This window comes from Homo sapiens, chromosome 20 (genome assembly GCF_000001405.40).
Source record: "Homo sapiens chromosome 20, GRCh38.p14 Primary Assembly".
Lineage (NCBI taxonomy): Eukaryota > Metazoa > Chordata > Mammalia > Primates > Hominidae > Homo > Homo sapiens.
This window is the reverse complement of record NC_000020.11, coordinates 36438686-36460870: the sequence shown is the minus strand read 5'-3', so window position 1 is coordinate 36460870 and position 22185 is coordinate 36438686. Positions and strand designations below refer to the sequence as shown.

The 22185-nt window shown below is 51.4% G+C and overlaps 1 protein-coding gene across 5 annotated transcripts in view, besides 2 other annotated features; it reads right to left on the bottom strand.

Moving 5' to 3' along the window:
* The window catches only part of DLGAP4 (DLG associated protein 4), a 222295-nt gene that overhangs the window by 67763 nt on the left and 132347 nt on the right, over positions 1-22185 (bottom strand). For all 5 annotated transcript variants that reach the window (NM_014902.6, NM_001365621.2, XM_011528689.3 and 2 more), the window contains exons 5-7: positions 21003-21117; positions 18094-18144; positions 13934-14174 (exon numbers count right to left, since the gene is read on the bottom strand). In NM_014902.6, coding sequence (NP_055717.2) covers positions 13934-14174; positions 18094-18144; positions 21003-21117 — 407 coding nt within the window. The remainder of the gene's footprint in view (positions 1-13933; positions 14175-18093; positions 18145-21002; positions 21118-22185) is intronic.
* Positions 5735-6535: an enhancer, noted in NCBI's record as "H3K27ac-H3K4me1 hESC enhancer chr20:35082739-35083539 (GRCh37/hg19 assembly coordinates)". NCBI's record gives its function as "activates a minimal SCP1, AML or CMV promoter by ChIP-STARR-seq in primed H9 embryonic stem cells {active_cell/tissue: H9 hESC(primed)}" and the evidence as "EXISTENCE:reporter gene assay evidence [ECO:0000049][PMID:30033119]".
* Positions 19199-19396: a silencer, noted in NCBI's record as "fragment chr20:35069878-35070075 (GRCh37/hg19 assembly coordinates)". NCBI's record gives its function as "represses an EF-1alpha promoter that drives an FKBP-Casp9 reporter gene in an ReSE screen in phorbol 12-myristate 13-acetate-treated (for megakaryocytic differentiation) K562 erythroleukemia cells {active_cell/tissue: K562(+PMA)}" and the evidence as "EXISTENCE:reporter gene assay evidence [ECO:0000049][PMID:32094911]".

Below are 22185 nucleotides of genomic sequence, written 5' to 3'. Positions count from 1 at the left end.
CAACATCCGCATTCAACTTCCCTGAGCCTTCCATTCCTCCCCCGTAAAATAAAACAACAAGCACACCTACGATCTCATGGAGGGCAAAGTGACCAGCTCGAGCCGGGTTGGCAGTAGGTGGTGCCTTCACGCCTCCTCGCCTTCCCAGTTCCTGGCTTCTACCCCGCGAGTCCCCTCTCCTCACTGAATCCAGGTCCTGTCGCTGCCTTGTGGGCCTCATCTCTCCAGGCCGCACCTGTGGTAGGTCTGCCAGACGCAGACCCAACTCTTGTTCATGACCTGCCTTGCTGGGTGACCTAGGCAAGTCCTTTCCTTTCTCGCATCTGTTTTCCAAAAAATGGAGAAAAGAATTTTTGACATATCAAAATATTTTGAGCACTGGCGAAGATGATAGTGTTTCCAATACCACTGTCATGGTTTTTGCATTAAGGTGTAAAAATAATAAACGGAATTGAGGGTTAGCCAACCGTTTTGAATCCAGGCACTGTGCTAAGCACTTTGAAGGTCATCCTATCTCAGTCACTTATGCTACGCCTGTACTATTCACTTTAAGTTGGTTATTTTTATTTTTTGTAGCGACAAGGTCTCTGTTGCTCAGGCTGGTCTTGAACTCCTGGGCTCAAGCGATCCTCCCACCTCGGCCTCCCAAAGTGTTGAGATTACAGGCGTGAGCCAAGGTTGATTTACTTAGGAAAAAAACAAGGTACATTTGTTATGGGCCCTGACAACCCAAGGCAGCACACACAGCATAAGATGAAATATCATTATTCCACTTCCACCCTCCCAAATTTAATAACACACTCCCTGTGTGACCTTGAACAAGTCCCTTTCCCTCTCTGGGACTCACCAGCCCTATCTGTTTCCTGGAGAGAAACTGGACCAAGGCAAGATTTTTCAAACTGTGGACCGTGATTGACACCCTGAAGAGAGATCACTGGGGGCACCAACTGAAAAGCAGATTCTGGGCCGAGTGTGGTGGCTCACGCCTGTAATCCCAGCACTTTGGGAGGCCAAGGCGGGAGGATCACCTGAGGTCAGGAGTTCAAGACCAGCCTGACCAATATGGAGAAATCCCGTCTCTACTAAAAATACAAAATTAGCCGGGCATGGAGGCACATGTCTGTAATCTCAGCTACTTGAGAGGCTGAGGCAGGTGAATCGCTTGAACCTGGGAAGCGGAGGTTGCGGTGAGCCAAGATTGCGCCATTGCACTCCAGCCTGGGCAACAAGAGCGAAACTCCGTTTCAAAAAAAATTAATTAATTAATTAAAAAAAGACCAGCCTGGGCAACATAGGGAGACCCTGCCTCCACAAAAATTAAAAAATTAGCTGGGTGTGGTGGCATGTGCCTGTGGCTCCTCAGCTACTCAGGAAGCTGAGATGGGAGGATTGCTTGGGCCCAGGAGGTCAAAGCTGTAGTGAGCTGTGATCCTGCCACGGCACTCCAATTTGGGTGACAGAGTGAGACACTGTCTCCAAAATAAAAAAATAACAAAAAAGAAAAGCAGATTCCTGGGACAGAACTCAGGCAGTGTCAAACAGTGTTTGTATTTTACCAAATTTGAGACCCTTGGGCTAGGAGATTTTAACAGTCCCTTCTGATGGTGATGCTTTAGGGTCCCAGAAGATATTTATGGAACATCTACTGTACTCCAGTACTGGGTCCTTCCCCTAAGAGCTCCCCAGTCTGGCTGGAATCCCTACAAGGCAGAGTTGGCTGGACCACAGCCTGAGATGGGGCACAGACAGGACTCACATGCTCCCCCTCCCTAATCCCCAGCCTGGACCCCAAGGCTCCCCATCCGGGGGGTGAAGATGCTCCTCTCCCAACTTCCCAGATAGTCACTGTCCTGTCTCAGGTGCCAGAACTGGCAGTTAGAGGAGTGAGGGCTGTCCCCACGCGACCTGGCTGTGTAACCATTCCTTCTCATCACCCCTTAGCTGTTCTCCTTCACTCTCACCCACATCCAATCCACCAAAGAATCCTGTTGACTCCACTTTCAGAGCCCTTCCAGGATCCAGTGAGTTGTCACCACCTCCCTCACTGCCACCCTGCCTAAGCCACCATCATCACCCTGGTATTCCCATATCACCCACTTCTCGCCCCTCAAACGTGGCTCCATGCAGCCCCCTGAGTAGTCTTTTTTTCTTTTTCTTTTCTTTTTTTTATTTTGAGACGGAGTCTCATTCTGTTGCCAGGCTGGAGTGCAGTGGCGCAATCTCGGCTCACTGCAACCTCTGCCTCCCAGGCTCAAGCGATTCTCATGCCTCAGCCTCCCGAGTAGCTGGGATTACAGATCTGTGCCATCACACCTGGCTTTGTATTTTTAGTAGAGAGGGGTTTTGCCAGGCACGGTGGTTCATGCCTGTAATCCCAGCACTTTGGGAGGCTGAGGCGGGTGGATCACCTGAGGTCAGGAGTTCAAGACCAGCCTGACCAACATGGTGAAACCCCTCGCCATGGCACTCCAAGCCTGGGCAACAGAAGCAAGACTTCATCTCAAAAAAAAAAAAAAAAAAAAAAAAGATATGGGGTTTCACCACGTTGGCCAGGCTGGTCTCAAACTCCCGACCTCAGGTGATCTGCCTGCCTCGGCCTACCAAAGTGCTGGGATTACAGGCGTGAGCCACCGCACCCGGTCTGAGTGTTTCTTTTAAGACACACACCAGGTCATGTCACTCTTGTGCTCCAGTGCCCCAGTGGTTCCCCCTTGTACTCAGAGCCAAAAGACAAAGTTGTTTCCACAGTCGGTGGCCAGACCCAACCCTCCCCTCCCTGTCCTCGAACCTCACCTCTTACCATGGCTCTCTCCTCAGTGCTCTGCCCCCCACCAGCCTGTCAGGCACCTCCTGCCTCAGGGCCTTTGTACCACTCACCCCCCGCCTGGAGCGCTTCCCAGCACTGCTTATTCCCACACTTCCTTCAAGTCTTCACTCAATCCGGGTGTGGTGGCTCATGCCTGTAATCCCAGCACTTTGGGAGGTGGGGTGGATAGCTTGAGGTCAGGAGTTCGAGACCAGCCTGGCCAACATGGTGAAATCCCCTTTACTAAAAATACAAAAATTAGCTGGGTGTGCCTGTAATCTCAGCACTTTGGGAGGCCAAGGTGTGCGGATCATGAGGTCAGGAGATCAGGACCATCCTGGCTACCACGGTGAAACCCCATCTCTACTAAAAATACAGAAAATTGGCCGGGCGTGGTGGCTCATGCCTGTAATCCCAGCATTTTGGGAGGCCAAGGCAGGCGGATTACCTGAGGTCAGGAGTTCAAGACCAGCCTGGCCAACATAGTGAAACCCCGTCTCTACTAAAAATACAAAAATTAGCCAGGTGTGGTGGCAGGTGCCTATAATCCCAGCTACTCAGGAGGCTGAAGCAGGAGAATCGCTTGAACCAGAACCAGGGAGGCGGACATTGCAGCCATTGCACTCCAGCCTGGGGGACAAGAGTGAGACTTTGTCTCAAAAAAAAAAAAAAAAAAAAATTAGCCGGGCGTGGTGGCGAGCGCCTGTAGTCCCAGCTACTCAGGAGGCTGAGGCAGGAGAATGACATGAACCCGGGAAGCGGAGGTTGCAGTGAGCCAAGATCTCGCTACTGCACGCCAGCCTGGGTAACAGAGTGAGACTCCGTCTTAAAAAAAAAAAAGTCTTCACTCAAAATCTCCCTCTCAATGAGCTGTACCCTAGCCACCCTGTTTATACCTCGGCACCCCTCCCTGCACTCTGCCACCACTCCCAGGACCCCTTATGCTGTGCCAACTACCAACAAACCACACACTTATTTATGTTTATTGTTTTGTCTGCCCTTCCCCTTCCCAGTAGAATACAATCTCCATGAAGGCAAGGATTTCCATTTTGCTCACTGATGGTACCTACAACACAGCCTGGCCCAGAGCACTTGATCAATAAACATCTATCAGTGAAAGATGCCTGATTGCAAGGCTCAGGTGCTTAACCACCATGCCGTAGGGCCTCCAAGGTTCTATTTAAACACCTTCATCTCTCTTCCTTTGGGGTGACTTCTCTACCCCCTGAGGGGATACAGAATGCCCCTGTCTTGTCTCAAGAGTCTCAATCCTGGGATTGGAGGCCTGCCCACCAGTCCTTCAGTCCTGGTCACTATTTCCCCCAGAAGGCTGAGTGGATCTGCTAAAAACAGGACATGGAAGAGTGAGGATCCATATACTCAGCACACAGTAGGCACTCAATTAATCAGGCATGTCGTAGTCCAAGGGTTGGTGGACCCCAGACAGGAAGCCTGCCTTCTGCCCAGTGTCCTCTGTGGAGAGGTGCCTGTTTCAGCAGTAGGGAATTGTGGTTCCTCATTATTCATTCTGGGAAGGCCTCCTGGGTCCTCCCATTATTCTCTGACCCTATGGCCCCTGTCCTGACCTCACTGTCACTTACCTAGACCACTGCACCAACCTGTGAGTGGCCTCTCAGCCTCTAATCCATCCTGCCCATGTTGCTAGAGGACTTCCCCTGCAACTCCTGTAACATACCTTCATTACCCATGCTTGTACTGCTTTACCAGGACTGGGTGGCTCCCACGCACAGGGGGCAATGGAGAACCCAGGGCTTCGAAGTCAGGCACACCCAGGTAGGAAACTGCTCCCTGACCTACTAGCTGGCTGACTTTGACCTTGATAGATAATCATCTTCCCTAGGCTGATGTTTCTTTGTGAAATATCTGTAAATGTGTGTGCATGTCTGTGTGTGCGCACGTGCATGTTGGGATAAGTGGGTTAGATCAGGAATTGCAGATGTATGTAACTCTTCTGGCTACGGTAGACATCGCGAATCGATGGTGGCACCTTTCTTTGCTTAACCAAATCTCAGAACTGAGCTCCAGGGATCAGAGATGACACATGGTTGAAGTCCATTTGCAATCTCCGGACATGATGGTCTTTGAGTTTCCTCTTAGCCCTGACACTGTGGAGACTAGAGGCGTTGGGCTGACAAGAGCCTGCGGTGGAGTGAGGGGACAGGTGGGCCCAGGGTAGGGTTGGGGGACAGGGTTGACTGGAGGGTTGACTGTGTACTGCAATTTTATCAACCTCCCTTCCTGTATACAGAGTGTGTGGTGCCGGGGGGAGGTTAGGGGTAGGAGGGCAGTCAGAGAAGAAGCTGGGGGATGGAAGATGGGACAAAGAGGGGCAGGCATAGCAGCTGATGACTGGATTGTCACAGATGGGAGGTACCTGTGGGTCCCCAAACCAAGGCCTCACAACACAGATAGAGACTTTGAGGCCCAGGGAAGGGCAGGTGCCCACTCAGAGTGACACAGAACTCAGGGTCCCTGAGCAAGGAGCAAGGGTGGTTCCCAGGCCTGGAGCCCATCCCAGGTCAGCCTAGAGCCACAAGCACTGTCAGGGAGTGAGCCCAAGTGTGTGTGCCTGTGTGCTTGCACACACTCAGGTGCAGAGAATGCAGCTGGCAGGAGTGGGGGTACACCCTGCAGCCCACCACCTTGCCTGCCCAGGCCACTGGCTGTCATCACAGCCTCCCTGTGATTCAGAGGGAGTGGGAGAGACACAGAAAGGGAGGACGGGGAGGAGGGCCAGAAACTGAGAGGGAAGGAAGGCAGAGAGGGTGGGAGGGAGAAGCAGAGAACTGAGGGAGACAGACAGAAGGCAAAGATGGTGGGGGGAGAAAGAGGGAGAGGAAGGGAGGGGAAGCTGGAAGAAAGAGAGGGAGATGGCAGAGTAAGAGGAGGGAGGGAGGAGGAGGGAGGCTGTTCTCCTTTCTTCTTTTTCTCAGAGGCATAGAGAGAAGAGAGGCAGGAGGGGGCAGACTGGGGAGTGATGGCACCCCCAAGCCCCCTCCTAGATAGGTCCTTTGGCTGGGGAGGGGCACGCATCCATAGCGGCTGCTTCTCCCACCATCCCAGCTAGAGCTGACCCCGCCTGCCAGTCACCTGCCAGAGCTATTTCTGGAATGTGGAATCTGGGTCAGACAGGGGGAGGGAGAACAGGGACAGCAGTAGTGGCACTGGCAGTGGAGAATTGGCCAGGTCCACGTGGGTGGGCGGGCAGGCAGGCAGCTCCTCACCCTGCCCACGCCCTGCTTGAGAGGGGCTCTCACTGCCTCAATAACTGCCGCTCCCCTACATCAACCCACCGGCCTGCACAGGACCTGAGTGCACAGATGCCTCTGTGAGAAGGACAGAGCTTTCATGCCCTTCAGCAACGTGGGGGCTCAGAACAGCCCTGGGGGTGGAGAAAGGACCCGATTGCTCACTCCTTGGAGACAGATGCTGAGGAGTAAGGGGGCAGCCTTCTGAGCAGGGGTGACCCAGTAGGGAGACAGTGGCTGGATGTACAGTGGTGAGGATGTGCCTGTGTGTGCTGGTGTTTGTCTGTGGAGGGAGTGATTTTGGGCAGGCTCGCCATATATGGTTGTACAAGTTTTATACTGATCAAGGATGCTACATATCGGGGGGAGCCATTCACCACATAGACATAATTTAATTATATAATTATTATGACAAATTTCTGGCAAATGGAAGTAAAGGACCTTATTCTAACAAAAAGTGTGACATGACAATTTTTCAACAGATGGCTGTTAAGTGTCTTAAGGAGTGCCCTTTCTTTCTATCTTTTTTTTTTTTTTGAGACAGAGTCTCGCTCTGTCGCCCAGGCTGGAGTGTAATAGTGCGATCTTGGCTCACTGCAACCTCTGCCTCCCAGGTTCAAGTGACTCTCCTGCCTCAGCCTCCCGAGTAGCTAGGATTACAGGCGCCCAGCTAATTTTTGTATTTTTAGTAGAGACGGGGTTTTGCCATGTTGGCCATTCTGGTCTCAAACTCCTGACCTCAGGTGATCCACCCACCTCGGCCTCCCAAAATGCTGGGATTACAGGCGTGAGCCACTGTGCCCGGACTCTTTTTTCTTTTTCTTTTCTTTCTTTCTTTCTTTTTTTTTTTTTTTTTTTTTTGGAGACAGAGTCTCACTCTTTTCGCCCAGTCTGGAGTGCAATGGCACGATCCCGGCTCACTGCAACCTCCGCCTCCTGGGTTCAAGCGATTCTTCTGCCTCAGCCTCCAGAGTAGCTGGGATTATAGGTGCCCGCTACCATGCCCAGCTAATTTTTGTATTTTTAGCAGAGACAGGGTTTCACCATGTTGGCCAGGCTGGTCTCGAACTCCTGACCTCAGGTGATCCACCCACCTCAGCTTCCCAAAGTGTTGGGATTACAGGTGTGACCCACCGTGCCCAGCCTCTTTTTTCTTTTTTTTAAAGACAGAGTCTCATTCTGTTACCCAGGCTGGAGTACAGTGGCATGATCATGGCTCACTGCAGCACGACCTCCCAGGCTTAAGCAAATCCCACCTCAGCCTCCCAAGTAGCTGTGACCACCATGCACAGCTAATTTTTTTTATTTTGTAGAGACAGGTTCTCACTATGTTGCCCAGGCTGATCTTGAACTCCTGGGCTCAAGTGATCCTCCCACCTTGGTCTCCCAAAGCATTGGGATTATAGGTATGAGCCACTGCACCCAGCCTCTGTTTCTTTTTAGACAGGGTTTTGCTCTGTCACACAGGCTGAAGTGCAGTGGCTAACTAAAAAAAAATTTTTTGTAGAGATGGAGTCTCACTATGTTGCTGAGGCTGGTCTTGAACTTCTGGCCTCAAGAGATCCTCCCTACGGTGCTGGGATTATAGCACCGTGCTCAGCACTGTACCCGGCCTGAGCTTGCTCCTTTTGGCTGCATTTGTTAAGGACTTACAAGACAAAGGGGCCAGGCGTGGTGACTCACGCCTGTAATCCCAGCACTTTGGGAGGCCAGGGCAGGCATATCACTTGAGGTCAGGAGTTTGAGACCAGCCTGGCCAACATGGTGAAACCCCGTCTCTACTAAAAATACAAAAATTAGCCAGGCATGGTGGCGCATGCCTGCAGTCCCAGATACTTGGGAGGCTGAGGCAGGAGAATGGCTTGAACCTGGGAGGCAGAGGTTGCAGTGAGCCGAGATCATGCCATTGCACTCCAGCCTGAGTGATAGAGGGAGACTCTGTCTCAAAAAAAAAAAAAAAAAAAAAAAAGACTTACACAAGAAAAAGGCCAAGCGCAGTGGCTCACGCCTGTAATCCCAACACTTTGGGAGGCCGAGGCGGGCAGATCACTTGAGGTCAGACGTTCAAGACCAGCGTAGCGAACATGATGAAACCCCACCTTTACTAAAAATTTGAAAGTTAGCTGGGTGTGGTGGCATATGCCTGTAATCCCATCTACCTGGGAGGCTAAGGCAGGAGAATGGCTTGAACTCAGGAAGTGGAGATTGCAGTGAGTTGAGATCCTGCACTTCAGCCTGGACAACAGAGCAAGACTCTGTCTAAAAAAAAAAAAAAAAAGATTTACAAGAAAAGGAGGAACTCAAAAGAAATAGCTAGGCCAAGTGCCGTGGCTCACACCTGTAATCCCAGTACTTTAGAAGGCCAAGGTGGGAGGATCACTTGAGCCCAGGAGTTCAAAACCAGCCTGGTAGAACATAAGGAGACCCCATCTCTACAAGAAATTTAAAAATTAGCCAGGCATGGTACTGCATGACTCTGGTCTCAGCTACTCGGGAGGCTGAGGCAGGAGGATCGCTTGAGCCTGGGAGGTTGAGGCTATGGTGAGCTATGACCATGCCACTGCACCCATGCCTGGGTGACACATGGAGATCCTGTCTAAAAAAGTAAAAAATAGCCGATCTTCAAGGAGCGTTTAGAGGAAAGGGAAGGAGACCAGAACTTGTTTAGTTGGAAAATAAATTTGTCAACTCCAGCCCCTCCAGAGAGTAAACCATTCTCAAATTAAGATACAGCCTCGTTAGGCATGGTGGCTCATGCCTGTAATTCCAGCACTTTGGGAGGCCAAGGCAGGCAGATCACCTGAGGTCAGGAGTTTGAGACCAACCTGACCTACAGGGAGAAACCCTGTCTCTACTAAAAATACAAAACTAGCTGGGCATGGTGGTGCATACCTGTAATCCCAGCTACTTGGGAGGCTGAGGCAGGAGAATCACTTGAATCCAGGAGGCGGAGGTTGAGATGAACTGAGATCACGCCATTGCACTCCAGCCTGGGCAACAAGAGCGAAACTCAAAAAAAAAAAAAAAAATACAGCCTCAGGGCAAAGATGAAACCAAGGTCATGGCCAGTTAAGATGCCGTATGTGGACAGGATCAAATCAAAGTGTGGTTATAATATCTCTTATTAACACTCTAAAAATAGTAGAGCCAGGCGTGGTGGCTCACACCTGTAATCCCAGCACTTTGTGAGGCCGAGGCGGGTGGATCACTTGAGGTCAGGAGTTCGACACTAGCCTGGCCAACATGGTGAAACCTTGTCTCTACTAAAAATACAAAAATTAGCCAGGCATGGTGGCACACGCCTGTATTCCCAGCTACTTGGGAGGCTGAGGCATGAGAATCGCTTGAACCTGGGAGGTAGATGTTGCAGTGAGCTGAGATCGCGCCACTGCACTCCAGCCTGGGCGACAGAGAGCGAGACTCTGTCTCAATCAATCAATCAATCAAGATACCAGGTAGCAGATGCTACTATCTGGTCAAAAGGGCCTACAGAAAGCTTAAGGGCATGGTCCCACAGAAGCCCAAAGTAGGCATCAAGTCAAGAGAGAGGCATGACTCAAAAACAATTATGGGTATGGCTTTTGGCACTCGAAGTTACAGGGAATCAAATACATAGAAAACTCATCAAATGTTTGAGGTAGGTGCATGGGTAAAATTGACCAGCTTAGGCTAAAGGGAGTAAGACCGTTCAAGATGCAAAAGACATCTAGCTCCCTAACTTTCTTTAGGAAGGAAGCAAGCTAAGAAAGGTGTTCCGTTCCCCAAGGCTATATTCTCCAAGTTCTCTTTAAAAGTGGCCAAAAATGCTGATGGAGAAGGAAGGGCTTTCAGAGAGCAGAACCAAGAGCTGTGGAGAACAGTAGACTAGAAGATCAACCCCAGGGAGAACTTGTACCTAATCAACAAATCTCAACGCATTTGCCCAACAGTTGCTCAGAAGGACTTCAGAATTGCCATGGATCAATAAGTCTCTGCATCTCTACTTTCCCCTTTTCTGAACAGGAGTATTAACTGCAGTTCTCCTGTCCCTGTTTCACCAGTGTATGCTGTGTGGTTGGGGAGGGTTAGACTGTAGGGTAGATAAGTAGTTTCTTTAAAAAATTAAAAGTCAATTGTTCGACAGAAGCCACATCCAGACCTGACATAGATCATAAGAGTCTGATCCAATCTCATGATTGGATGAGACTTTTGGGGGTCTTGGGAATAAAAGTTTTCTACCTGGGAAGGGCATGAGTAAATACAGCCAAGACAGTGGATCATGGAACATAGAATTGTTGACCCTGATTCTTTTTTTTTTGAGACGGAGTCTCACTTTTGTTGCCCAGGCTGGAGTGCAATAGTGTGATGTTGGCTCACTGCAACCTCCACCTCCCGGGCTTAAGCGATTCTCCTGCCTCAGCCTCCTGAGTAGCTGGAATTACAGGTGGGCACCACCACGCCTGGCTAATTTTTGTATTTTTAGTAGAGACAGGGTTTCGCCATGTTGGCCAGGCTGGTCTCAAACTCCTGGCCTCAAGTGATCCACCTGCCTCGGCCTCCCAAAGTGCTGGGATTACAGGCATGAGCCACTGCGCCCACCCAGACCCTGATTCTTTACCTCTCCCTGTGGCCACACCCTTTGCCATATGAATATAGTTTCCTACACAAAGGTGAGAAGATACTTCTCCATCCCTTGTCTATGAGCTCAGTCATATGACTTGTGTTGCCAATAGGATGTTAGCAGGTATGACATGAGCAGAGGCCTTGAAATGTGCTTGTTTGGTTAGTTAGGCTTGCTCTTCTGTCTTCTGCCATCACCATAAGGAGAACATGCCCTGGCTAGACCACTGATCCCAGGAGGACTCTTTGGTCCCAGGAGGAGGATGAAAGACATGTGGAGCAGAACTGTCCCAACTGACAAACTTGGGAGCAAGAAATAAATGTGAATTGTTGTATTACACTGATTTTGTGGTTGTTTGTTATGCAGCATAATTGTAGCAAGAGCTGACCAATACAGGGACCCAGGCAGTATTGGGACATGTAGCCCATCCCCTATCTTTAGTCCATTCATGAGTGACTGGGGTTGGAAAAACTGGTGAGGGATGGTTTATTTGAAGAGAATTGCTAGGGGTGCTGTCTATCCCTCCAGGCCCACTTCATGCTTAGAGAACTTCGCATGGGTGTGAGGATGTGGGGGATGTTATCCTTCACCCACGGCCCCTTTGGAACTGTAGCAGAGTGCCTGGGACAGCCTGGGAGAGCTCTTCTGGATGTGGAGGCCACAGAACCTGGGCCTCAGCTCTTGTTTGGAGACCTTGAAGGTGGAGAGGCTGGCAGGGCTACCGGTAACAGCAGGACTAGAAGGAAGGCTGTAGCGGGCCAGTCTGTATTTTCGGAGGCTGTAGCAGACCAGTCTATATTTTCAGAGTCCCAGAAGGCAAAGGCCCTTGTTTTCAAATACATTAAGTGGTCACCAAGAGGGAAAATAGGGCTGGAGTTGTCTTCAGAGGATTCTACCCAAGATGCCTGACTAGCAGGGCCAGGTGCCCTAGCAGAAAGAAGCTGAGTGGCGAGGAGGCAGACTGCCAGATGGAGAAGCTGAGGGGGAATAAGAAACAGTGAGGTGAATGAAGATTGCCCATGCTGGGAAAGATGGCACTGGGGACCCTGCAGGGTGCGAGAAAGAGCCAGTATGTGGCATCAGAGAGTCCCGATGCCAGACGACACCTCCCTGGCTACCATCCCTTCCCAAGTGGAGGAACCAGAAACAGAGGTGAACAAGGAACAGAGAAGACATTTATTTACATCAAACACCGGTTGAGCACTTGAAGCAGTGCCTCTCTTCCTACAACAATCCAACCCCAATTGCTTTTTTTTTTCTTTGAGACAAGGTCTTGCTCTGTCACCCAGGCTGGAGCGCAGTGGCTCAATCTTGGCTCATTGCAACCTCTACCTCCCGGGTTCAAGCAATTCTCATACCTCAGCCTCCCAAGTAGCTAGAACTACAGGTGTGCACCACCACACCCGGGTAATTTTTGTATGTTTAGTACAGATGGGGTTTCACCATGTTGGCCAGGCTGGTCTCGAACTCCTGACCTCAAGTGATCTGCCCACCTTGGCTTCACAAAGTGCTGGGATTACAGGCATGAGCCACCATGCCCAGCCCCCAATTGTTTTTGATTTTCAGGAAGCTCAGAGTCAGGTCTGAGAACCAACAATAACAGCTACCACTTACCAAGCTTCTACCACAAGAAAGTCCCTGCCTAAACATGTCCTATGCACAGTCTTGTTTCATCTCCCTAAGAGATCCCTGGAGTCTGGCTTATGCCCTCAATTTATACATGGAGAAACTGAGGCTCAGGAAGGCGAACTAGCTTGCCAGAGTAAGCTCAAACCTCTCTCTACTATTGATAAACAATAAATTGTGCTGTTTTTCCTTGGTTTTGATTTTCTATTATTATTATTTTGAGACAAGGTCTTGGTCTGTCTCCTAGGCTGAAGTGCAGTGGTGTGAACACAGCTCACTTCACCTTTCATCTCCTGGGCTCAGATGTCCCTCCTGCTTCAGCCTCCTGAGTAGCGAGGACCACAGGTATATGCCAACCCGACCAGCGAATTTTTAATTTTTTTAGAGTCCGGGTTTCATCATGTTGCCCAGGCTGGTCTCCAACTCCTAGGCTCAAGTGATCTGCCTCGGCCCCCCAAAGTGTTGGGATTATAGGCGTGAGCCACTGCACCCAGCTAATTTTCTATTACGTCTTTTTTTTTTTTTTTGACCATCTTAATAATACTTAATAAGGTATACATGCGCCACGGTGGTTTGCTGCACTTATCAACCCATCATCTAGGTTTTAAACCCCACATGCATTAGATATTTGTCCTAATGCTCTCCCTCCCCTTGTCTCCCCCCCCCCCACCCCCCTGATAGGCCCTGGTGTGTGATGTTCCCCTCCCTGTGTCCTCATTGTTTACCTCCCACTTATGAGTGAGAACATGCAATTTTCTATTATTTCATGGCTTGCTCAGTTATACAGGGTCCCCTTTTTTCTCTGATCACATATGGGTTATCTTCAGATGATTTAGAACAAGAATCCAGGGCTGGGCATGGTAGCTCACGCCTATAATCCCAGCACTTTGGGAGGCCACGATGAGCAGATCCCTTGAGGTCAGAAGTTCACGACCAGCCTGGCCAACATGGTGAAATCCCATCTCTACTAAAAATACAAAAATTAGCCAGGCATGGTGGCATGTGTCTGTAATTCCAGCTACTTGGGAGGCTGAAGAATGAGAATTGCTTGAACCTGGGAGGCAGAGGTTGCAGTTAGCCAAGATCATGCCACTGCAGTCCAGCCTGGGTGTGGAGTGAGACTCTGTCTCAACAACAACAAAACACCCAAGAATCCAGAAGGTATTCCCTGATTGTGTATATGAGAGAAGCCTGTAAAACACATCCCTTTGAGAAGGCTCAGTGCAGACCCCACCCTCACTGCAGGCTTCTCTGCAGGTTCCAACCTGCCCTACAGGTTTGCCTACCTGAACTAATTCCAAGAGGCAGGTCAAGCTGCAGTAAGCCCTGACTATAGCAGGTGGCTGCTCTGAGCCAAGGAGCAACCAAGTACCCTACAAGCTCCAGCCCCTCCAATACCTCCCATGCCCCCCAGGGGTGGCATCTGCCTCTGGGACCCCCATTTGAGCTCCAGTGGCCAATTGGCTGGAAGTTCAGCTCCAAGGCCTCCTGCTTTTGCTCCCAACCATCCCCCTGGTGCGGGCCAGCCTGAGACAGATTCCTCCCTGTATCCTCCCAGGCTGGCCCTCCAGGTATGGTCCTTGGGGTCCCCTTGAAAAGAAAAAAAACCCCTTCCCTCATCACAGTACTCACTCGGAAGCGTGCGACTATTGCTGAGGCTGCCGGTACTGGGCGGTGGGGAGAGGGACTGCAGGGAGACACTGTCCTCCTCCTGCGAGCAGCCTGCCTGGATGGCACGCAGGTAGCTGTGGCTGCGGGAGCGGAAGTAGCTGGGCAGTGGCAAGTCAAGCGTCTCTGCCGCTGTGGACTCCGCTTCACTGCAGGCTGACTCGCAGGCCGCCTCATACTGGTCACTCAGCTCTGCCTCCCGTACCTGTCCAGGCAAAGGCAGGCATGAGGGAGCTGGCTATCTTGCCCATCCTGGGGGGAGCGGTTCTTGGTGGTGGGCTCAGGGCAGGGCTGGACAGTCTGTGGGGTCTGACCTCAGCCCACCCCTGTCCATCTCACTCAGCGTATGGGATGGGGAGATGGAGCCCTTAAGAAAGAAACAGTCCTACCTCTCTGGGCCTCAATTTTCCCATCTCTATAATGAGGACAAAGTTGGAATATCTCAGGATATTAACTGTGATAAAAATCAGGGTCCACACTGATTAATAGATTTCAAGGTCACATCTGAATTTAGTGTGAAAGAGGTCTATAATCAATTAGCAATGTCTGTCCTGAATGTTGGAATGGGGGTGGCGGTAGGTAGCTGGATATTTACCATCCTATGGTCCAATCCCTTTATTTTACAAGGAAAGAAACCAAGGGTCAGTGAGGGGAAGACACTTGCCATGGGTACCCAGTGAGGAAGTGGCAGAACCAACACTCCAAATATGTATTTAAGGAAGATTAATCTAGCCCTCTTATACAGAATGGATGTTGGGAAAGGGGTCTGGAATGGAGGCAGAGGCCAGAGACGAAGCTGAAGCAAAAAACTGGAGTGAGGGTAGTTGCAGTGAGGATTGATTAATGATGTCTGCCATGGACAGTATGGAAAATGGTGATGTGTATGCTATCTGCTATCTTGCATCTAGTTCAACTTTGTGTAGATGGGTCCTAAGTATTTCTCCAGAAATGACTGTCTAGGACCCTGAAAATCTGAAGCCAAGGGTATGAGCATTGAGGGGCCTCACCATGCACATACTCTTTGAGGGTTCTGGAAGGGCTATCTGACCCATGTCTCAGGCCATGTTGGTAACTGAAGACCACAGAGGATAAGCTGGGGGGTCAGTTGGCCAAAGATGTGGACATCTTGGGGGCTGGCCTGGGCCACAGCGGGAGGGGGCACAAGCTGACTGACCATGTGGAGGAAAAGGTTGATCTGGGCCTGGGGCCAGCTGTGTCCCACCCAGCTGTGTAACCTCAGGCCATCACTATCTTCTCTGGGTCAGTTTCTCCTCATCTACATGAAATAGGTGCTCGCATTCTCATCTGAGACTGCATCAGGTCAAACAACTAGATGGGTGTTCACCCAATTTGGAGGGTGGATGGAAAGGTCTAAATCTGTGCTTTTTTAATTTTTTTGAGATGGAATCTCGCTTTGTCTCCCAGGCTGAAGTGCAGTGGCGCGATCTCGGCTCACTGCAACCTCCGCCTCCCGGGTTCAAGCAATTCTTCTGCCTCAGCCTCCTGAGTAGCTGGGACTATAGGCAGGTGCCACCATGCCCGGCTAATTTTTGTATTTTTAGTAGAGACGGGGTTTCACCATATTGGCTAGGCTGGTCTCAAACTCCTGACCTCGTGATCTGCCCGCCTCGGCCTCCCAAAGTGCTGGGATTACAGGCATGAGCCACTGCGCCTGGCCAAATCTGTGCATTTCAGTATGGCAGCCATGAGCCATGTATGGCTATTTGGGTTTAAATTAATTAAAATTCAGCCTGGGCAACATAGTGGGACCCCAGCTCTACAAAAGAAATTAAAAATACAAAAATTAGCCAGGAGTGGTAGCATGCACCTCAAGTCCCAGTAACTTGAGCCCAGGAGTTGGAGGCTGCAGTGAACTATGATTGTGACACTGCACTCCAGCCTGGGGGACAAAGCAAGATCCTGTCTCTAAAAAAATTAAAAAATAATAATAATAATTGATTAGTCCAGGCGTGGTGGCTCATGCCTGTAATCCCAGCACTTTGGGACGCCAAGGTGGGTAGATCACTTGAGGTCAGGAGTTCAAGACCAGCCTGGCCAACATGGAGAAATCCTGTCTCTACTAAAATCCCAAAATTGGCCGAGCGTGGTGGCACATGCCTGTGGTGCCAGCTACTTGGGAGGCTGAAGCAGGAGAATCACTTGAACCCTGGAGGAGGAGGTTGCAGTGAGCCAAGACTGGGCAACTGCACTCCAACCTGGGTGATAAAACGAGACTCCATCTCAAAAAAAAATTTTTTTTGATTAAAATTAAATAAAGTTCCATAGTCACAGGAGCCACATTTGACTTGCTCAAGACCACAGGTAAGCCAGGCACAGTGGCTCACGCCTGTAATCCCAGCACTTTGAGGGGGCTGATGTGGGAGGATCACTTGTGTTCGGGAGTTTGAGACCAGCCTGGGCAACACAGCGAGACCCTGTCTCTAATAAAAACTAGCCAGGCATGGTGGTGCGTGCCTGTAGTCCCAGCTACTCGGGAGGTTGAGGTGGGAGGATCACCTGAGCCTGGGAGGTTGAGGCTGCAGTGAGCCATGATCGCACCACTGCACTCAGCCTGGGTGACAGAGTGAGACCCTATCTCAAAAATAAGTAAATAAATAAAGTCACATATAGCTAGTGGCTATCTCATTGGGCAGTGTGAATTATAGAACATTTCCATCATTACAGAAAGTTCTACTGTACAGTACTGATAAATTAAAATATAGGCCATGTGGCATATCCAAAATTCACTCAGAAGGAGTGTTAAAGAGATAGGTGTTTCTCCTCCAAAACTGCAGCCTGAAGTTATGAAGAGACCCTTGTGACTGCCGGGGGCATGGGGTCTTGCTTTGGGATCACACAGGAACCACATGGCTCTGGAACTAGACTGCCAGGGGTCCAACCCTTGGCCCATCGTTTCCTCACAATGTGAACGTGGGCAAGTCACTTAATTGCTTTGTGCCTCAGTTTCCCCACCTATAAAATGGGGCAATAGTCCCCATTTCAGGGTTGTGGTCAAGATGAAATGAGAGAATTCATATCACAGGCTTAGGATAGAGTCCAAGAGAGTATGCACCTAGTAACCTCTACCCACGAATACAGGTAGCACTGTGGAGTCTGTCAGTGTTGGTTAAGATGCTCTTGAGCTGTCGGTGGGGAGGCCAGCTGGTCAGCGCTGCTGGTATGTGTATCACTGAGGATTTACTGTGTAGGGGGCACTGTCCTGGGGGCTTTGTATGTTAACGCATCACATCCTTACCACTCGCCTATTAAAGGTGGATGAGGAAGAGGTCGCTTGGCCCACTGTGGGCTCTTTAAATAACTTCTTGAATCATGTGTTCAGGAGGAACACACAGCTTCTGTGACATGGGGGAGAGGGACACATGGGGCATCCACGGCTGGAATCAGGAGCTGGAGGTCTGGTCCTAGTTTTGCCCCTGTGGGATGTGTGACCTTGCACAAGTCCCTTACCCACTCCTGGCTACAAAGTGGGGTTGATCTCAGAGTACCTTTCCTGCCCCTGGTTTTTGGTCTTTGGCCTGGGAGGGAGGAGAGGGCCACTTCCAGGGGCAGGATAGGAATGTCTAGGAGGTGGTGCCCTCAGGGCAGCCACAGTGCCATGAGCAGCACAACCTCACCAACCTGTGTGAAGTTGGAAAGTCTCCACACACACTCCAACACCCCAACATCTTTAAATGTCCTCCTGGCGCTCCAGAAAGGAGAAAAGCCAAGGGATCTGGGGGCTGGGACCTGGAAGCTAATATCATCAGCCCCCAGCCCCTGACCTGTCCAACTCAGTCTCCCCAGGCCTGACCCAGGCTTTCTGGGAGGAGAGAGGAGGGCAGGAGTCCTGGAGTTGTTTCTTGCCCCATCCAGAGCACCTAGCTCATTCTTCCCCATTTTCAAAAGGAGGAAACTGAAGCACATAGAGGTGAAGCAATAAGGGTAGGGAGTGGAGAGTCAGGACACCAATGTGACCCTCAACTCCATCCACTGGAAGTGGCTTTCCTGGTGATGGCTCTGCTTGTACCAGCCTGGGCCGGGTGCTGGGACCACTCAGAGGGCAGGCCTAAGGCCCAGGCCTACACTCTGGGATTGGGGTGGAAGAGAAGGGCAAACATACTGACCTGCTGCTCATGGCCAAACAACTGGGGGATCAGGGAGGCCTGTCCAAAAATCTGCAGGAAAGAGAGGGTGAGGGTTATGGAAGGACCAGGGCTGGGGCTGGGGTGGGGGATTCAGGGTCAATTGCAAGGAAACTTGAAGCTGGCTGGTCTAACCTCCTCCCCAGACTGGCTGGGACACAGCTGCTAGGAGGTCTCACTTGGCTTCTTCCAGGGATGGGAGGCTCACTCCTTCTGGGGCTGGGCATTACTGAGGACTTATAATCTGCTATTTAAAAGTCCTTCTTGGCTGGGCGCAGTGGCTCATGCCTATAATCCCAGCACTCTGGGAGGTCGAGGCGGGTGGATCACTTGAGGTTGGGAATTCGAGACCAGCCTGACCAATATGGAGAAACCCCATCTCTACTAAAAATACAAAATTAGCCGGGCATGGTGGCACATGCCTATAATCCCAGCTACTAGGGAGGCTGAGGCAGGAGAATTGCTTGAACCCGTGAGGCGGAGGTTGCAGTGAGCTGGGATCGCGCCATTGCACTCCAGCCTGGGCAACAAGAGCGAAACTCCATCTCAAAATAAATAAATAAATAAAAGTCCTTCTTTAGGTCTGGGCCCTGGGACCATGGATCCTCTGTCTGCTGCCTCTCATCTGGCAGGCAGCCCACCTGGAGATACAGATTAGGGATGGAGCCCAGAGCCTGCTCTTCCCCAGGCTAGAATATCTCTGACTTTGGGGCCAAATATATGGCTTGGGTCACTCAAACTTCTAGAGTTGAGGCTGTGAGGGGTCAGAGGATCCTGGACTAGGAGAGAACTGGGACTGGGCAGCGGGTGGTGGGTGAGACCTGCTGCGGCCCCCAGCCTGGCCGATTAATAAGCCTTTTTGTGTAGTTAAAGGACAAAGGTGTCCTGGGTGCCAGGCCCAGGCGGGGGTGGAGATGGGATGTGTAGAGAGACAGACAGACACAGAGAGAGACATGGAGATGGAGACACGCTGGAGAGAATCAGAGAAAAATGTGAATGAGGGGAGAGAGAACAGAGAGAGAGAAACAGACGGAGACAGACACAGACAGGAAGACTGAGACGAGAAAACGTGGTGGGATGGGAGAGACAGGGAGGGATGCCGTCCATTCAGCAAACACCTACTAAGCATCTGCCCTGTGCCAGGCACTGTGCCAGGTACTGGGGACACTGCAGGGAACAAGACAGCAAGGCCTCCGCTCCCAGGAGATCCTAGTTTTAAGAGGGAGACAGCATTAAGTAAATAAGCAAATGATTCTAGTTCCAGGCAGTGATAAGGTAAGGGAACAGCAGGGTAAGGGAACAGCGCCTGGGAAGGCTACTTTAGACAAGTGATCACAGGCAGCCTCTCTGAGGAAGTGACATTCGAGCAGAGACCTGAAACGCCAGGAGGAGCCAGCTGTGCAAAGATTTGAGAAGAGAGCCCCTGGAAGAGGAAACAGCAAATGCAGAGGGCCTGGAGCAGAATGACATGGCACACTCGTATATAAGGAGCAGAAAGGAGGCCGGCATGGCTGGAGCAGGGCAAGGGACAGGATCCAACAGGGAGGCAGGGCCTAGGTCTTACAGGGCTTCACAGGTCCAGGTAAGGACTCTGGCTTTCCCTCAGGGGGAGGTGGGAGCCAAGGGAGGGTCTGGAGCAGGGGTGTGGCTCTGACAGCTCCCTCTGGCCACTGAGTATGGATTGGAGGACGGCTGTTCAGGTGTGACTTGGTGGAGTCTGGATGAGGGGGGCAGGGGCAGGGGGCTCCCTGGGCTGCGGCACTCTACCCCTCCCCATGTCTGAGGGGCTGGGGAAGGAGCTTGGCTAGGCCAGGAATAATGGAGTTGTGAGGAGTCGGGGTCCCAAAGCCTTCTAAGCAGTCCTCTAGCCGTGGTCCTGGGCCTGCACACAGTGGCCTGTTCCTGCTGAGAGGAGGCTGGACCCGCACCTGGCCGCCCCACTGCCTAACTGCTACTACCAGTAGGTGTCTGCCTTCTCGGGGGGCTCATCTCCCCATCCACACGATGGGGGGTGCCTTTTAGTCCTGCCTGGTTCTCCCTTTGCAAACCCTAAAGTGCCGAGTACACGGCAGGAGCTGAGGTCCAGGTCTGGGCTGGACAGCCCCAGATCCCTGCCCAACTTTGTCTTCTCCTAGCTGCATGATGACTTCACCTCTCTGAGCCTCAGTTGCCTCACCTATGAAATGGGGATATGGATAACAAGGCCACCTCTGGGGGTGGTTAAGGGCTCAAGGAGCTGATGGTTGAGAGGGTGGCATGCAAATTCAACGTTCAGCCCAGTATGCTCCTCACTGACACAGGCAGGGCTGGCTGCGCCTGGGAGCACAACTGCCCACTGAGTAGGTGGCACAGAGGTTCAAAGTGAGCAGTCACTTGCTGGAGGTCACAAAAGATGCTAATAATAACCAGGAAGGCAGCTACCCTCTGCTGAGCACACCGCCTTCACGATCCCACTTATTCCTCTCAACAGCCCCCAGATAGAAATGCTCACCCTCCTCTGGTAAATCAGGAAACCGAGGTTCAGGGAGGGGAGGTGACTATCCTGGGTTCATACTGTCAAGTGACAAAACTGGGACTCGAACCTAGGTCTCCAGTTCCTTATCCTCATGGTTCTGAACCCAATGAGAAGTGACAGGCGCCCCGCTGGCAGCCTGTGTTTACAGTGGTGGTGTGGGGTCCTGGGTCAGGCCCCGTAACTGTGCTCTCCAGCCACAGGACAGTTGGTGGGGCAGAGACACACACAGGAGGCTTCAGGAACAAGGACCAAACAGAAGCACAGTGCAGACATCTGGGGGCCACTCAGCATGGGCTGGGCCTGGGCGTGTGTCCTCCTCCCAGATGGGAATCAGTACCCAAGCCCCCTGACTCTCCAGCCTCCCTGCCACCCTCACCTGGCTGATGCAGCTGGAGTCGTTGAGGCTGTCGCTGACGGGGGTGTAGTCCTCTTCCCAGCTCGGACACTTGGAGGGCAGCAGCATGTCCACTGAATCCAGGCGGTCCAGACTCCTGGTGGGGAGTGGGGAGCAGACAGGGCTCAGCCCACCCATTGTTCACCCAGCTTTTGGAGGCCTTGACCATCTGTGATGCACAGGTGGTCCACACCTGTGATGCCCGCTGCAGCCGCAGGGTGGCAGCACCAGCTTGTATTTGACTGTTTAAAACCCGAGGCTGGCCCTGCCCAATTCTACAGCCCCTTTCCTTCCTCCTTGAAAGTCTGGGACATTTCCAGAGGCCCGACAGAGGTGGGTCAAGTTCCACAGCCTAGGGCTCCCAAAGGGCATCAGCTCTGCTGCGATGTTCGAGTGGCTTCTATCAGGCCCCTAGACTCACCCCTTATCTCCACGGCCCCAGCCCTTCAATCTTTCTTACATCTACCTGATCCTGGGCATCCCCCAGTCCTCATTCTGGGGATAAAATCCAAGCATCCAATAGCTTAGGCCCCTGATACAGAAGGGTTTGGATTGGAATCCAGCTTTCTCAGCTGGGTGACCCTGGGCAAGTCATTACCCCTTACTTAAGTCTCAGTTTCCTCATCTCTAAAATGGGGATGATGCTACCTGCCTGCTGGGGCTGCAGTGAGGATTCAGTGGTGCAGATTAAAGGATATCAGGTCAGGCACAGTGGCCAGCGGACAAGTGCTAACAGACGGCAGCTGTTACTATTATTGCTACTACTACTACTGTTATTATTATTGCTTCCCTTGAATTCTAGGCTTAAGCCCCAGGCTTCCTGCCTCTCCCACCTTAATGCCTACTGGTCACTCGGATTGTAGGATCTCCGTACTAGAAGGGGTCTTAGAGATCCTCCAGCTCAGCCCCTTCACTTAAAGATGGGGAAACTAGGCCAGGTGCGGTGGCTCACGCCTGTAATCCCAGCAATTTGGGAGGCTGAGGCGGGCAGCTCACCTGAGGTCAGCTCAGCTACTCGGGAGGCTGAGGCAGGAGAATTGCTTGAACCCGGGAGGTGGAGGTTACAGTGAACCAAGTTTGTGCCACTGCACTCCAGCCTGGGCGACAGAGCAAGACTCTGTCTCAAAAAAAAAAAAAAAAAAAAAAAGATGGGGAAACTGACCAG